Source organism: Homo sapiens, chromosome 3 (assembly GCF_000001405.40).
Source record: "Homo sapiens chromosome 3, GRCh38.p14 Primary Assembly".
NCBI classification, from domain to species: Eukaryota; Metazoa; Chordata; class Mammalia; order Primates; family Hominidae; genus Homo; species Homo sapiens.
Window position 1 is genome coordinate 72287159 of NC_000003.12, and position 14207 is coordinate 72301365.

General features: G+C 47.8%; 1 long non-coding RNA gene across 4 annotated transcripts in view, besides 3 other annotated features; it reads right to left on the reverse strand.

Annotated features, from left to right (window-relative positions):
- Positions 1-14207, reverse strand: part of LOC105377158 (uncharacterized) — a 32683-nt gene that overhangs the window by 12424 nt on the left and 6052 nt on the right. For 3 of the 4 annotated variants that reach the window (XR_001740749.3, XR_001740748.3, XR_940959.2), the window contains exons 4-5: positions 5265-5357; positions 5014-5105 (exon numbers count right to left, since the gene is read on the reverse strand). This is a non-coding gene — a long non-coding RNA (uncharacterized LOC105377158). The remainder of the gene's footprint in view (positions 1-5013; positions 5106-5264; positions 5358-14207) is intronic. The other variant, XR_001740750.3, reaches the window with a different exon arrangement.
- Positions 1669-2905: a transcriptional cis regulatory region, noted in NCBI's record as "candidate enhancer chr3.2860 targeted for multiplex CRISPR interference". NCBI's record gives its function as "positively regulates RYBP gene expression with high confidence in K562 cells {active_cell/tissue: K562}" and the evidence as "EXISTENCE:mutant phenotype evidence [ECO:0000015][PMID:30612741]".
- Positions 4386-4886: an enhancer, noted in NCBI's record as "H3K4me1 hESC enhancer chr3:72340695-72341195 (GRCh37/hg19 assembly coordinates)". NCBI's record gives its function as "activates a minimal SCP1, AML or CMV promoter by ChIP-STARR-seq in primed H9 embryonic stem cells {active_cell/tissue: H9 hESC(primed)}" and the evidence as "EXISTENCE:reporter gene assay evidence [ECO:0000049][PMID:30033119]".
- Positions 12295-13494: an enhancer, noted in NCBI's record as "CDK7 strongly-dependent group 2 enhancer chr3:72348604-72349803 (GRCh37/hg19 assembly coordinates)". NCBI's record gives its function as "activates an origin of replication core promoter dependent on BRD2, BRD4, P300/CBP, MED14 and CDK7 cofactors, with strong dependence on CDK7, by STARR-seq in HCT116 cells {active_cell/tissue: HCT116}" and the evidence as "EXISTENCE:reporter gene assay evidence [ECO:0000049][PMID:35650434]".

A 14207-nucleotide genomic window follows, 5' to 3' on the forward strand; every position in this document is an offset into this window, starting at 1 on the left:
TTGGTTCTCCCCCAAAGCAGACCCCAAGACAAGGCTTGGAGTACAGTTTATTAGGAGGTGATATTAGGAAGCACCAGTAGGAGAGAAGGGAAGGGAAATAAGGATGGAAGGTGACATTAATAAATGAGTTACCACTATGAGCAACTGGAGCTCAATCCCCCTGGACATTCTCTGAGAGGCTGCATAGATTACAACTCAAAATCATCCTGTCCAGAGATAGGGAGGCTGGGTATCCACCCCGCAGCTCGCAGTCCTCACTGACTGAGGGCTGTTCACAGGGCATTCATTCTTGGCACTTGCAGCCTCCTCGGTGCCCTGCTAGGCTTGCTCTGCATTCAGAGAGAACCTTTGGGCAGGGAGACACTGGTGCTTGAGGTAAGAGCCATGCTGTGCACACCAAGCTGCAGGTGACTCCAGGGTGGCCTGGAGAAGAAGTGCAGGCACTGGCGGCCTCTATGATCATTAGCACTGCTTTCATTTGCTCAGGCTGCCATAGCAAAGCACGGTCAGCCCTCTGCATCTGTGGGTTCCACATCTATGGAATCAAGAATATTCAGGGGGAAAAACTACATCTGTACTGAACATGCACAGACTTTTTTTTCCTGTCATTATTCCCTAAACAATATGACATAACAAGTACTTACGTGGCATTTATATTGTATTAGATATTATCAGGAATCTGGAGATGGTTTAAGGTATATAGGAAGGTGTGCATAGTTTATATGCAAATACTATGCCATTTTATATCAAGGACTTGAGTATCCTTGGATTTTGGGTGCACGGGGGTCCTGAAACCAATCCCCCATGGATACCAAGTGATGACTGTACCAAAAACTGGGTGGCTTTAAATGACAGTGTATTCTCTCCCAGTCCTGGAGGCTAGTCCAAAATCAAGGCTTCAGCTGGGCTGTGCTCCCTCTGAAGGCTCTGGGAAAGAATCCACCTTGCCAAGGCAGTTCTTAACAATCATCGGTGTTCCTTGGCTTGTGGCCACATAACTTACCTCTGCCCTCACAGGCCCATCTTCTCTGAGTCTTAGCTCTGTGTGTATCTGGCTCTGTGTCCCAATTTCCCCCTTTAAGAACACCAACCACATTGGAAAGGGCCCATCTCACCCAGTGACCTCAACTAATTACATCTGCAACAATCCTATTTCCAAATAAAGTCCCATTCTCAGGAACTGGGGGTTAAGGCTTCAACATATCTTTTTGGAGGGATGCAATTTGATGCCCACCAGGCACCTTATATGTGTTATATTCTTCAATCGTGACAGCAGCTGTGAGACAGGTGTGCTTCTCCAGGTATCACACAGAGGAAATTGAGGCCCTGAGAGGTGAAGCGACCCTCTTGAGAGCCCCCAGGTAGGAAGCTGCAGAGCTGGAAGCTGAACACAGCTCTGTGACAGGCTGAAGTCCATCATGTGCTCTTCTAAACAGTATTGTCTGCTGTAGCCCACCCTGGCTTTAAGGAGGAGAAAGCCAATGCGCAGGCTCCTAAGCCAGGCTCCTCGAGTTCAAGTCCCACCTCCACTGCTGACTACCATGAGACCCCCACACATTCCTGACCTCCTTTAAGGCTCCCCCTGAAAAATGGGAATCAGAGCAGTGCCTGCACCACAGACTTATGATGAAGATCAATTTAAATAATATATGAAAAATATTTAGTAAGCGTACAGTGAATGTCAGTTGCTGTCATTATCATCACAGTTACATTTAATATTCTGAACATTAAACACCACGAGCCTCTATACAAAGCTCATATTTCCAGGCCACAATTCAGGATCATTTTTGTCTTTCACTCCTTGCTACAGCTGCCCACGAGTGATTCCAGGCAGGGCCATGACGGCTGCTGGGGTGGGCGGTGCCAGCCCTTCTCCCCCATCCCTGCGTGCCCCCCTGCTCGCCCCTGCTTGCTAATGCCCATGTGACATGAGACTCTGAAAGCAGCGATAAAAACAGCAGCTCTTAATCTGCCTGCTGCATGTGGCTTTATCTGAACCCCTCCTCCCTGGGCTGCTGGGGGCTCAAGGGGAGATGGGCAGATTAAGAGCAACGTTTCCGACATGCCCTCCCACCTCCTGCAAACTGGGGCTGCCGCCAGCAGATTTCCTCAAAGCCCAGCGAGGCAGCCGCCGGAGGAATGTGCGGCCTCCTTGGCATGGCAGACATTCAAGGGAGCCCACAAAGGCGCTGTTATGAAAACCCTCTGGAGCACGGGGTAGGATGGGAGCGTTTCATTTGCAATTGGGATTGCACATTTCAAGAACGGGAGCTCGGCAACAGAACGCATGCATGTGAACACACACGGCTCATAATTAATTCATTTCACTTCCTCCTGTTGAAAAAATATTGCAGGAGATGGGGGGTGGAACCACCAGTCTGAGCAGGTAGTTATTTCTGTGCCTGGGGCTCAGCCTGGCTGAGAACCAACCTGTCTAACATGGAAGCTGAAGGGCAAGTAACTCTCGTGCGGGCTCCTGCCCCAGCCGAGGTACAGCCAGCAAGGCGTTCCTGGGTGCCCGGAAGTGGCTTCCCCAGACTGGTCTCCTCCACCTGCATTTTGTGTGGTCTTCTCATTCTTGGACAAGATTGTCTTTTAACTGCTAAAAACTAGAGATAGAGCTAGGAGCTATCACTTAGCCACTGGCACTTCCCAGCAACTCCCCAGGAGTTACAATGCTCAGGACGTATTGGCAAACTTGTAGGAACTACAGGACCCGTGCGAGGTCCTAGATAAGGTGAGGAAAGCCCCACTCCCTTCCCTCAAGCAGCCTACAGTTCAGAGGGAGGAGGCAAGTTAAGTAGGTGTGTGCATGGCCTACTGTGGAAGAACAGAAGGGGAAAGCCAAATCTAGCCTGGCAGTCAGGGAAGGAGAATGGTACATCCACGAGGAAATGGAAAGAATGAACAGGAGTTAGCAGGGAGAATCAAAAGTGCAAAGACCCTACAGCTAAGAACAGCCTGGTACATTCTGGAATATTCTGGAATGGGAGGTTTAAGGGGTGGTGATGGTGCCAGGAGGATTAGAGTTAAAAAAGCAAGGGTTTAAAAACTGACTTTGGTTTCTCTATCTGAGGGGGCACTCACTTAAAATGATAAAGACAGGCTAGGCTCAGTGGCTTACACCTATATTTCCAACACTTTGAGAAGCCAAGGCGGGAAGATCGCTTGAGCCCAGGGGTTTGAGATCAGCCTTGCCAACATGGTGAGACCCCGTTTCTACAAAATTTTAACAATTAGCGGGCATAGCGGCATGCCCCTGCGGTCTCAGCTACTTGGGAGGCTGAGGTAGGAGGATCACTTGAGCCCTGAAGGTCAAGGTTGCAGTGAGCCGTGATCATGTCACTGCACTCTAGCCTGGGCGACAGAGCAAGACCCTATCTCAAAAAAAAAAAAAAAAAAAAAAAAAAAAAAAAAAAAAAGAGGTCCTGATAGCCCAAAATGGTCATGAGTAAATTTTACTTGATAGAAAAAAAAAATGTGTTTTTTTTCATTCTATCACTTACTCATGTAAATAAATGTTTACTGAACATCAGCAACATACCAGGCCCTGTGCTAGTTATTGATTATTCAAAGGTAATTCAGATGTGCTCTTGTCTTCAAGGAGTTCACAGTCTAACAGAAACAGAAGTCATCGCTAAGGTTGTTCGTACACTCAGAGGTCCCAGGCGCCCTATGTGCCCTGTCCCATTTGTTCCTCTGCAGGCTCTGCCTTCTAAGTGGGAGTGGAGGGAAACTTCGGGACGCATTTGTCCTCCACAGTCACTCAGTGCCCTATGTCAAATGCGTGGTGGAGAGGGGACGGGGACATGGAGAGAGGAAGAGACAGAAACAGACAGGCAGACATTGAGACAGAGAGAAGCAAAGATAGGAACGGAAAGAGATAGAAAGACAGTCAGACAGTGGAGAGAAACTGACTAAATAAACAGAGGACCGGGAAAGAGAGGGTGGGAGAGAAAAACAGATAAATGCAGAGAGAGAGAGAGAGAGAGAGAGAGAGGCAGAGGCAGACAGGTAGAGGGACTGGGAGAGAGAAATAGAAGCAAGGTACAGCCTCATTCACAGAAAGAGAAAGAAACAGAGGGAAAATGAAAGACTCCAGACTGAAAGGGGCAGAGGCTGGGAAGGTGACACCCCAGCTGAGTTCTTTCTTTAAAAAAAAATCCAGGGCTCTAGTGCTTGCTAGCTGGGGTCTGGCTTGGCTGGTCTCCAGGTGTCCCTACAGGCACGGCTGAGTCAGAGCCAACACGGTGGGAGAGGCTGGGGCTCTAGACACAGGGTCCTGAGACACCCAGTCCAGGGGAGTGGGAGCCAGCTACAACAGCTCACCCTTCCCCAGGTGTTTTCCTCCCCACCCGTCCCCACACACCTGGCCAAGGCCCTCACTGCAGGGACTGACTGGTGCACCTGAGGAGTTAAGGTTGCCGAGAATCCTCCAGGACTAGCCCCTGCAACTGGTCCCCTGCACAGTCTGGCCAAGGAAGCAGTCTCCAGAGCTGCTGTGTGTGGAGTCCTGTGGGCTGCCTGGGGCCCTCAGCTGTCCGGCCACTGTGTATGGGGCTGTCTTTTGGTGCCAGGCTCTGCATCCTCACAATAAGGCAGGCACTTGTAGCCTATTTTACAGGTAGGGAAACCAAGTCCTGGAGAAGTCAAGGGCTTGTGCAAGATTACACAGCTGGCACACCTAACTAGTAAGTTCACTGCTACCGTGCTAAGCATTTGTCATTCATTATTACGGAAACCCTTGAAGCAGGCTTTAGGAGCGCCATTTTATAGATTAAGAAACTGAAGTCTGAAGAGGTTAGGCAGCATGCTTGGGTGACAGTACCAGTGTCGAAAAGAGCTAGGATGAGAACCTTGGCATGCTCGTCTCAGAAGCTCTGAATCCCTTCCGTACACACCCCTAGCCCCAGGACACACACCTCTTCTCCCTTGAAACCTCAGCATCCAGGACCTAGGAGAAAAACGGATTGCATCTTCTGATGGAGACATGCTATGCCCAGTGGCACTCACCTTCCACAGCACGGCTGCAGCCAGCGATTTGCCCTCAGCCCTATTTCTCTACCCCAAGCTTTCTCAGCCTGGGACCACGAAATCCAAGGAGTCTGTGGATAGAATTCAGAGGGTCAGTGGACTTGGGTGGAATCATTATTTTCACTAACTTCTAACCAAAGTTCAGCATTTGTCTCCATTGTAAATGTGACAAACTACAGTCAGATTAGCAGCGCCTGTGACTGTCACCAGTAGAAATCACAGATAGTTACCTATGGAAGGACAGTTGCTGCAGACGTCTCAGCACATTATGCATGTTCAGCACCACTTCAAGCTTCTGGTAGCTGTGAGACACACTGCCAGACCTTCTCATTTAACGCATTCATAAAGAAGCACATATGTAAAAAAAAAAAAAAAAAAGAAGAAGAAGAAGCATATATGTACATTTCTTTTTAATATCTTGATAATTGCATATTTTTTTTGAGACAGAGTTTCCCCCTGTCACAGGCTGGAGTGCAAGGTGCAATCTCATCTTACTGCAACCCCCACCTCCCAGGCTCAAGCGATTCTTGTGCCTCAGTCCCCCGAGTAGCTGGGATTACAGACGCGTGCCACCACGCTGGCTAATTTTTGTATTTTTAGTAGAGACAGGGTTTCACCATGTTGGCAAGGCTGGTCTTGAGCTTCTGGCCTCAAGTGATCTGCCCACTTCAGCTTCCCAAAGTGCTGGGATTACAGGTTGTGAGCCACCATGCCCAGATGATAATTGTATTTCAAAACTATTTCTTTCCTTAGTACTTTTTTTTTTTTTTTGAGACAGAGTCTTGCTCTGTCATCCAGGCTGGAGTGCAGTGGCATGATCATGGCTCACTGCAGCTTTGACCTCCTGGGCTCAAGTGATCCTCCCACCTCAGCCTCCCAAGTAGCTGGGACTACAGGTGTGCACCACCACACCTGGCTAATTTTATTTTTAATTTTTAATAGAGAAGACGTCTCACTGTTGCCCAGGCTGGTCTCGAACTAGAGAAGATGTCTCGCTCTTGCCCAGGCTGGTCTCGAACTGGGATCAAGCCATCCTCCTGCCTCAGCCTTCCAAAGTTATGGGATTACAGGTGTGAGCCACCATGCCTAGTCTCCTTAGTCTTATTATGTAAAACAAAAAATTTTTTTTTTCTGAGAAGAGTCCAGAGGTTTCGCCAGATGCCCCAGGGGTCCAGGACTTCTGAGTATGCATCTGGGGACCTGGCGGTGCAGAATTGCAGAGGTGATCATTGCTCCCCACCTGCCCTGCCGAATCCCTGGAGTCTAGGCTATGGGTCCATGCCTGTTGGTTCCCTGGCTCAGAAACTGAACCTCTACCAGATATCTGAGAAGTGCAAGCTGGAGCCAGTCAGCACAGATTCTTCTGTGTTACCAGGCACTCCTCTGTGTTACCAGGCACAGCCATGTCAGAGCACATGCTCAGTGTTCGAAGACAGGAACCATCACCCTTGGGTTTGTAGCCAGCCACCCAGAAGTGTTCAAAGCAGACCCTTTTGTTGAAAGCAGAGCCTTCTTACAGTTTAATGAATTCAGAAGGCAGCAAAGTGGGAGGCACTGGTTCTGTACCTTGGCTGCTCATAGAAATTGACTGAGGAACTTTTAAAAGTACTGATGCTTGGATCTCCCCTGGGAGATACTGACTGACTTGATTTGGGGTGATGCCTGGCCGTCAAGATTTTTAAAAATTCACTAGAGGATTCTAATGTGCAGCCTGGGTTTAGAACCTCTGATGTACTGAGAAAAGCCAAGCCCCAGGCTAGCCCTCAGGGCATCAGAGTCCATGTCTATGTTTTAGGCATGTAGAAATCCTGCTGGGTCAATGCTGCAATTTAACTGTGTTCCCCAAAAGTTGATAGGTTGAAAACTTGATCCCCAATGCAGCAGCATTGAGAAGTGCAACATCTGGGAGGTGATTGGGTCATGAGGGCTGTGCTGTCATGAACAGATTAATCCATCCGTGGAGTAATGGATTAATGGGTTATTGAGGGAATGGGTTAGTTATCCCGGGAATGGGTCTGTAATAAAAATCAGTTTGGCCGTCTTTCCTGAGCCCCTCATCTCTCATGAGCCATTTGATGCCCTGCGCCACCTCAGGACTCTGTAGAATCCCATCAGCAAGAAGGCCCTTACCACATGTGATCTTGGACGTTCAGCCTCCAGAACTGTAAGAAACAAATTTCTTTTCTTCATAAATTACCCAGTCTCAGGTATTCAGTTATTGAAACAGAAAACAGACTAAGATAGTCAGTTTCCCCATTTGCAAACATTTGGGATGGGAAGAAGGGAACTATGTTTATTAAGCACCCACCACATGCCAGGCACTTTATCATGCATTTATGTATTTATCATGCTCCATCACTCTGCTAAATCGGCACTGCTCAAACTTTGCTAGATCTTGTTAAAGATTTAGAGATCTTGTTCAAGTACGGATTCTGATTCAGTGTGTTGGGAGTGGGTCCAGAGATCCTGCATTTCCAACAGGCTCCCAAATGATCTGATGCTGCTGTCCAAGGAGCCCACTTTGAATAGCAAATGGCTAATGAGTCTTCATAGCCAGCATCTGTTCTAATTGGTCAGTGCCTGTGCCAGGCCAGTTGGTTAACTATTTAAGCCATCCCCTCTGCCAATTCATGCCCCTATTCCGATGACAGCACCCAGGTTTGCTCTAGGATCTCTGTCCCTCCCCTTGCTCAGCCTTGAGGCTCTTGCAAGACAGATGACCACCCCAGCTCCAGAGAGGGGCCTGATCAATCTAAACTAACCAACACGTCATATCCCTAAGCCAGGTGCTATGGCTCAAGGATGGGCACCTAATTTAACCCAAGCAAATGGAATGCCAAGAGTTTGAAAGTAGAAGCTCCTCTCTCTTCTGTGGGTACTACCAGAGGGGACATTCTTTCTTCTCCAGACTGATGAGGCTTAAGAATTTAAAGGATGTAGCTGCTGTCATTATTTCCTTTCCTGAAGGAAGAGCTCAGAGGTGTGGGCTATAGAAGCCAATGGTGAGGAGCCTAAGGATGAAGGCAGGCAGAGCAGAGAGAAGCCAGGTCCTTGAAGACGTCATTAGAGTGGCTGGATTAAGCCTTGCCTGAAGTTCACACCTGGGCTATCAGCTCAAAGGCCGTTTAATCCCCTTATTGTTTAAAGCCAGGTTGGGTTAGATTCTATGTCTTTTAACATCAATAGTCCTAACACAAGCTCAAGCATTAGAAAGAGCAGAGTTTTAACCTCAGCTCAGTCACTCACTAGCTGTGTGGCCTTGTACAAATCATTTGACCTCTCTGAGCCTGTTTCCTCACCTATCAAATGAAACTAGTAATACCTATCCCAGGATTGCTGTGAGGGTCAGGAGAAACCGCGAGTGTGAAATGCCTGGCATCTGTGCAATAAATGGTAGCTATTATTATAAATACTCATTATTAGTCCTATTTTGGTAGGCCCTCATTCTACAAACTATATATGTCAAAAGTTGTTTCTAGCTATTAGCCAAAAAAAAAAAAAAAATGGTAAATTAACCAAAAGATTGGGAAGGAGGGGCCTCAAGGTTATTAATACTAGAGAGAAGGAAAGGGAGAAAAAGTCAGAACTCCCTCGGTAACTAGAAGAGATGAGGAAGCTTGTCCTGGAAGGGAATGTAAGGCCTGCCCGGGCTGTAATTGATTTGGTCATAACACGCCCAGACCTTGGCTCCATCTGGCAAAGTGTATGGAAGCCACGTTCTGCTTCTCTGGATATTTGATGGTCTGATTGGCTCAGCCTTCCTAATTGTGTTGTATTGACAAATATATTTGTTTGGAACAAGCAAATGTATTGCAGGCAGGAAACAGACCAACTCCAAGAATTTATTTTGCTTTTTGGCACTGCTGCACTGAGTTTAGCATTCATTATGCGCCCATGTAAAACAGTCTCTGGGAACGCTGGCCTGAGTTATCTTTTTAATTATATTTATTTTTTCAGCTGCATTTCGGATCATGAGCAGACTTGCTGGTACTAAACAGGCCTCATTGGGTGAAACCTCCTGCCTCCCTCAAAATCACGTTGTGTGGATTAAATGTTCAAAGACATCAGACAAACCTGTGACGCTGCCATGGGCCATTATCGCTAATGGAAGAGAGATGGGGTTAAGTCAGTCAAATCCCTGCTCTGAGCCCAGAAAAGTCCACAGAAACCAAATCCTGGTCACCAGATTGAAATTGAAATCAGGTTTAAAGAGAGGGATGAGAAGATGAATGGAAGGCAATTTAGAGTGGATCGTTTGGCGATCACCAGGCCCCACTTTTCTTGTACTCAGTCCCCCGACTACCACCACAGGGGCACCTGGCAGCCATATTTGAATATGGCCCTCCTCCTTGATTGGATGAGGGGTGAGCACTGACCCCAGCAGGGCCAGAGTCCCTAATGGAGTTACTAGGAGAGAGACTAAAGGGCAGACAGACAGACTGACCACATGGCAGGTGCTGTAACAAGAGATCTGGGAGATGTAAGCAGCCATCTTGGATGTCATGTGGACAGAAAAGTCACAAAAGCCCGGGAAAGGGAATGAAGCCATCACAGGGGGATGCAGATGGGAGGCAATAGGAAAGATCCTTTTGTTGGTTCTCAGCTTCCTGGTTCCAGTCGCTGAGGCACCCTGCCTACTTAGACTGAATTCTTCCTTTTTGTTCCAGCAAGCTCAAGTTGTTCTCTCACTTACAACCATACAAGGGAAAACTATGCAACCAACCAAACAATGTTGTGGGAGAATATTTATTAACACGAAAAATGTACACAAGAACATTGTTGAGTGCAAAAAGCGTGCTGCTATCCTCCTTTCAGCCGATATTTATCGGGTATCTACAGCATGTCAGACGCTGTGTATTCAATGGTGAGTAAGGTCATGGCCCCTGCCCTTGTCAAGTTTACAGTCTGGTTACAAAATGTCAGAGAAGATTATACTCAGTAAAAAGAAGAAATAAAATAGATTTATAACAATATTCAAAACTGGTGTTGCTCCAAGTGTGATCTGTGGACCACAGCGCATGGGCATCATCTGGGAGCTTGTGAGAAGTGTAGATGCTCAGTCCCACCCCAGACTGACTGGGGGTGGGGCCAAGAAATCTGTGCTTTAACAAGCAGCCTTCCAGATGATGCTGATGCATCCTCAAATTTAAGAACCACTCCTGGGCCAGGCACAGTGATTCACACCTGTAATCCTAGCACTTTGGGAGGCCGAGGCGCGTGGACCACTTCAGGCCAGGAGTTCGAGACCAGCCTGGTCAACATGGTGAAACCCCATCTCTACTAAAAATCCAAAAATTAGCTGGGTGTGGTGGTGCACGCCTGTAATCCCAGCTACTCAGGAGGCTGAGGCATGAGAAGCACTTGAACCCAGGAGGTGGAGGTTGCAGTGAGCCAAGATCCTGCCATTGATTGCACTCCAGCTGACTCTGTCTCAAAAAAAAAAAAAGAACCACTTCAAAGCCTCACCTTCCAAATTAACAAGAATTTCCAGCTTTTCCAGTGTTCCCATTCCTAAATGCTACAACTTCAAAACCACCTAAGGGTGTATGTGTGTGTCAGCAAACATAGCAATCAGCTAGATATAATTTTACATATATTAATTTAATCCTCATAACAACTCTCTAAGATAGACTCTATGTGTCCCCCCACTTTACAAATGAGAAACCTGAGGCACAGAGAGGTGAAGTCACTTGCCCAAAGTCACAAAGAAAATAAGTGGTAGAGATGGGATTCAAACCCAAGCAGTCTGGCTCCAGAATCTGTACTCTTAATCACTAAGTTTAACCACTTGTCAAATAAGCCCTGAGCACCTTTGTCGCCTGGCAGAGAGAGAGAGAAGTTCAGTCACATCTCTCAGACTGGACCATATAGCTGCAGCTTGTTCTATGCCATTCTCTGCCCCTCCCAGATCTGATCAGGTTGTATAAGATCTACAGTTGCTGGCTGGACTCCTAAACTGGGGATACCTCTTTGTCCCTTCAGAACTGTGTACTCCTGCAGTTGAGAAGGGCCCTATAGCAATGTTGCCCAAGCCCCAAAGTGTTAGAATCATTAAATTTTTATGCACGATCTTCCCCATGGGGTACCCACTCCTCTAGGGTGGCTGGATCAGGAAGGTTCTAGTGCCAGCCTCAAACCGTGCTCAGAAGGAACCCTCATCTCCAGCCACCAGGGCCTGGGTGCTGAGTCCTGGCACCTGTGCAGGCTGTGTTTTCTCTTATGGTGAGTGTCTGTTCTGGAATCCTGTGATCCTTTCTGTGTGCTCTGGATTGAGGCCAGCCTAGCCCAGAAGGTGAAGTTGTTTTTATCCTTGACTCCTAAAGTAAAAACAGGGATCACAGATTCTTTTTCTTCCAGGAAACCTCTCAGTCCCTGTTGTGGGGAGAGAGTGATGAGGGAAATATGGATTTATAAAAAGAGAAAGGGATATGTGCGGCTCAACTCACCCGCCAGGAGCAACAATGCTTCAAATGCAAATAGGGACGTTGACTAGGAAGTGACCCCTCCTAACGCCAACCAGCAGTAGTATTTCTAAGCCCAGGCCTGCATCCAGCCAATATGTCTAATTATAGCCTCGGAGGAGCAGGGATAGACACCACTGAGAATTATCCATAAAGTGCCAGCTCAGCTTGTTAACAAACTAGTTCCTGTCTGGTTGGAAAGAGCCATCACTTGAGCCCCATGCAGGCCACCCCATTTGCCCTGGCTCCACCCCCAGGAACCCTAGACCTTCCCACCAGTCAGCAACTACAGGGTTAATGCCTGGCACAGCTGGGAGGCCTCCACTCACCCCAGGGCTACAGCCATCGTCCATTCTGAGGGGCTGGTGTCTAGAGCTGCTGAAGTCTGGAAAGATACACACTAACTTGTTGAAATAATGCTTTTCTGTAAGTATCAGAACATAGATGTCTTTTATTTTCTTCTTTCTGCTTATCCATGTTTTTCAGCTTTTCTACAATAAACATGATTTATTTATGTCATGAAGATTACTTTTTTAAAATATTAAAGAGAATGGCAGGTTTTTAATTTCCTGAGTAGCAGAGTGCCCTTTTTTCCTCTTGCCTCCACCCCAACCATTAGCACTGGCAGTCCCTCACAGATGCAGCAAGTGGGATCACAATGGTGGCAAGAGGCTCCTGAACATGGCCTTGGACATCTTTGGGAAACAAGGCCCACGCCCTGGGGGCTCAGTAAAGAAGCATTGTGCTTCCCTGGCCTTGAGCCCACCTACTGCCCCTGGTCGGCATGACTAACCATCTAATTCTAGAGAAATGGGAACTCATTGAGTGATCTGGCTTCCTCCAGAGAGCAGCCCATTCGTTTCCTGAAGTGACTGGTCCACTGGGAAGAGGGCCAGGATAGACCTTTGAAGTACTCAACAACAAAAGGAGGAGAAAGAAGAGATCGCACAATAGAGCAGCCTGGGGCCGTGATGGGAATGAGAGTTCATGTCCCTGTTAAACAGCAAAGATTAGATCAAAGCTAGCAGATTCATGGCACACACACCATTACCACCCATTTACTGTCCAGAGCAGACATTTCTAATCAATCACAGCATTTATCCTCACCGAGTGCTCCTCAGTGCAGCCCCAGGCAACTTTACCATCCACTGCCAGAGCTGAATCTTATTTGTCACTCTTGGAGTACTTGGGTTGGAGATGCTAACCCTTCAGACAAGACCACTTAGACCCCTGGGTGCAGGGTCATGAGTTTTCCTTGGATCTAGAGTCTGCACCAAACAGTGCCGTAAGGTCTATAGTTGTTAATTCCCTCTGACTTATGGAGATGTCGCTCTTCCTAGTATCAGGGAAACTCCCAACTGGGTGTGGCTCTACCTTCTGCCAGATGGAACACGAGAGGTCATCCCTCATCAAACTCTTTTGAGTCATGGAACCCTTTCTTCAAATCAAAGCTGAGTCAGAAGGCCAATTACAAAACAAATTGAAGCGGAATTACTGTGCTTAAAGAGGAGGTGACAGTCCCAAGCCACAGCCACCAAATGTCACCTCAGCCCCTGCTGCTGAAGGACTGACTTCCCAAGGACTCCTAGGGCTCCATGGGACAGTAAGGATCACTGATCCTATTCAAGTCACAGTATCTTACAAATGGGGAGAGCGAACCCAGAGGGGAGACGTGAACACCCCGAATTCACACAGCCGGCGAGGGAGGAGCAAAGGCAGGAACCCAGGAGTCTCCCAGCTTTTGATCCAAACACAGAACCCAGCATCAGACGTTTGGTCCCTTCTTTCTTGGCATGATGCAGTCTCCCTGAGGGGCTGCCGCTGCCCCCTGATTCGGGTCTTGTCTGTCCACCTGTGACTCCCATTTCTAGAGCTGCAGCCTCAACCTTTCACATTGATCTTGACCTTGACCTCCATCCATTTCTCTCCATCCCCATGGCCATTTCCTTATTTCAAGCCAGTATCAGTTTTCCCCTGGATGTTTGGCAACAGCCTCTTAACTGGCTCCAGTTTCCCCACTCCATTATTCAGAATGTGGCCAACATGATCTTTCTAAAACGCAAATTTGAAACAATCATTCCTTAGCTTGTAATTCTTCAAATGCTTCCCATTGATCTTCAAATGATGTCCAACCTCCTTGCATAGCTTACCAGACCCTTTGTAATCTGACCCATTTACCTCTCTACCCCCATCTTTCATGATTCCCTGACTCAGACTCCTGCAAGATGGAGGAGACTCTGTGTCTGCAGTGAGTGTGTGTGTGTGTGTGTGTGTGTATGTCGGGGTCTAAACTTTTCTGTCTCTAGACCTTTGCACAAGCAGTTCCTTTTGCCTGGAATACTTTCCCCTCCCCTTGGCACCTAGCTAACTACTCCCCATGCTTCAGGACTCCCCTTAGCTGTCACTCTTCCCACTATCCCTTCCTGCCCCCAAGAGTCTGCACAGCAGGACCCTCTTCGAAGCTCCCCACACCTATGCCGCCCCTTCCCACAAACTACCCTGAAAAGCCTTTGCTTAGTGTCCGCACTGTCACCCACACTGGACTCAAGATCCTTGGGTCGGGGACTCTCTCTAGTTCAAGGCTGGAGCTTGGGTGGATTGCTCCCATGACACCTTTTCTCTTGTTTGACCTCATGTCATAATCATTGAGTCAGGAAGTTGGGCCCCTGATCTACCAACAGGACACAACCATTTTATGTAGAACAGAGGGTG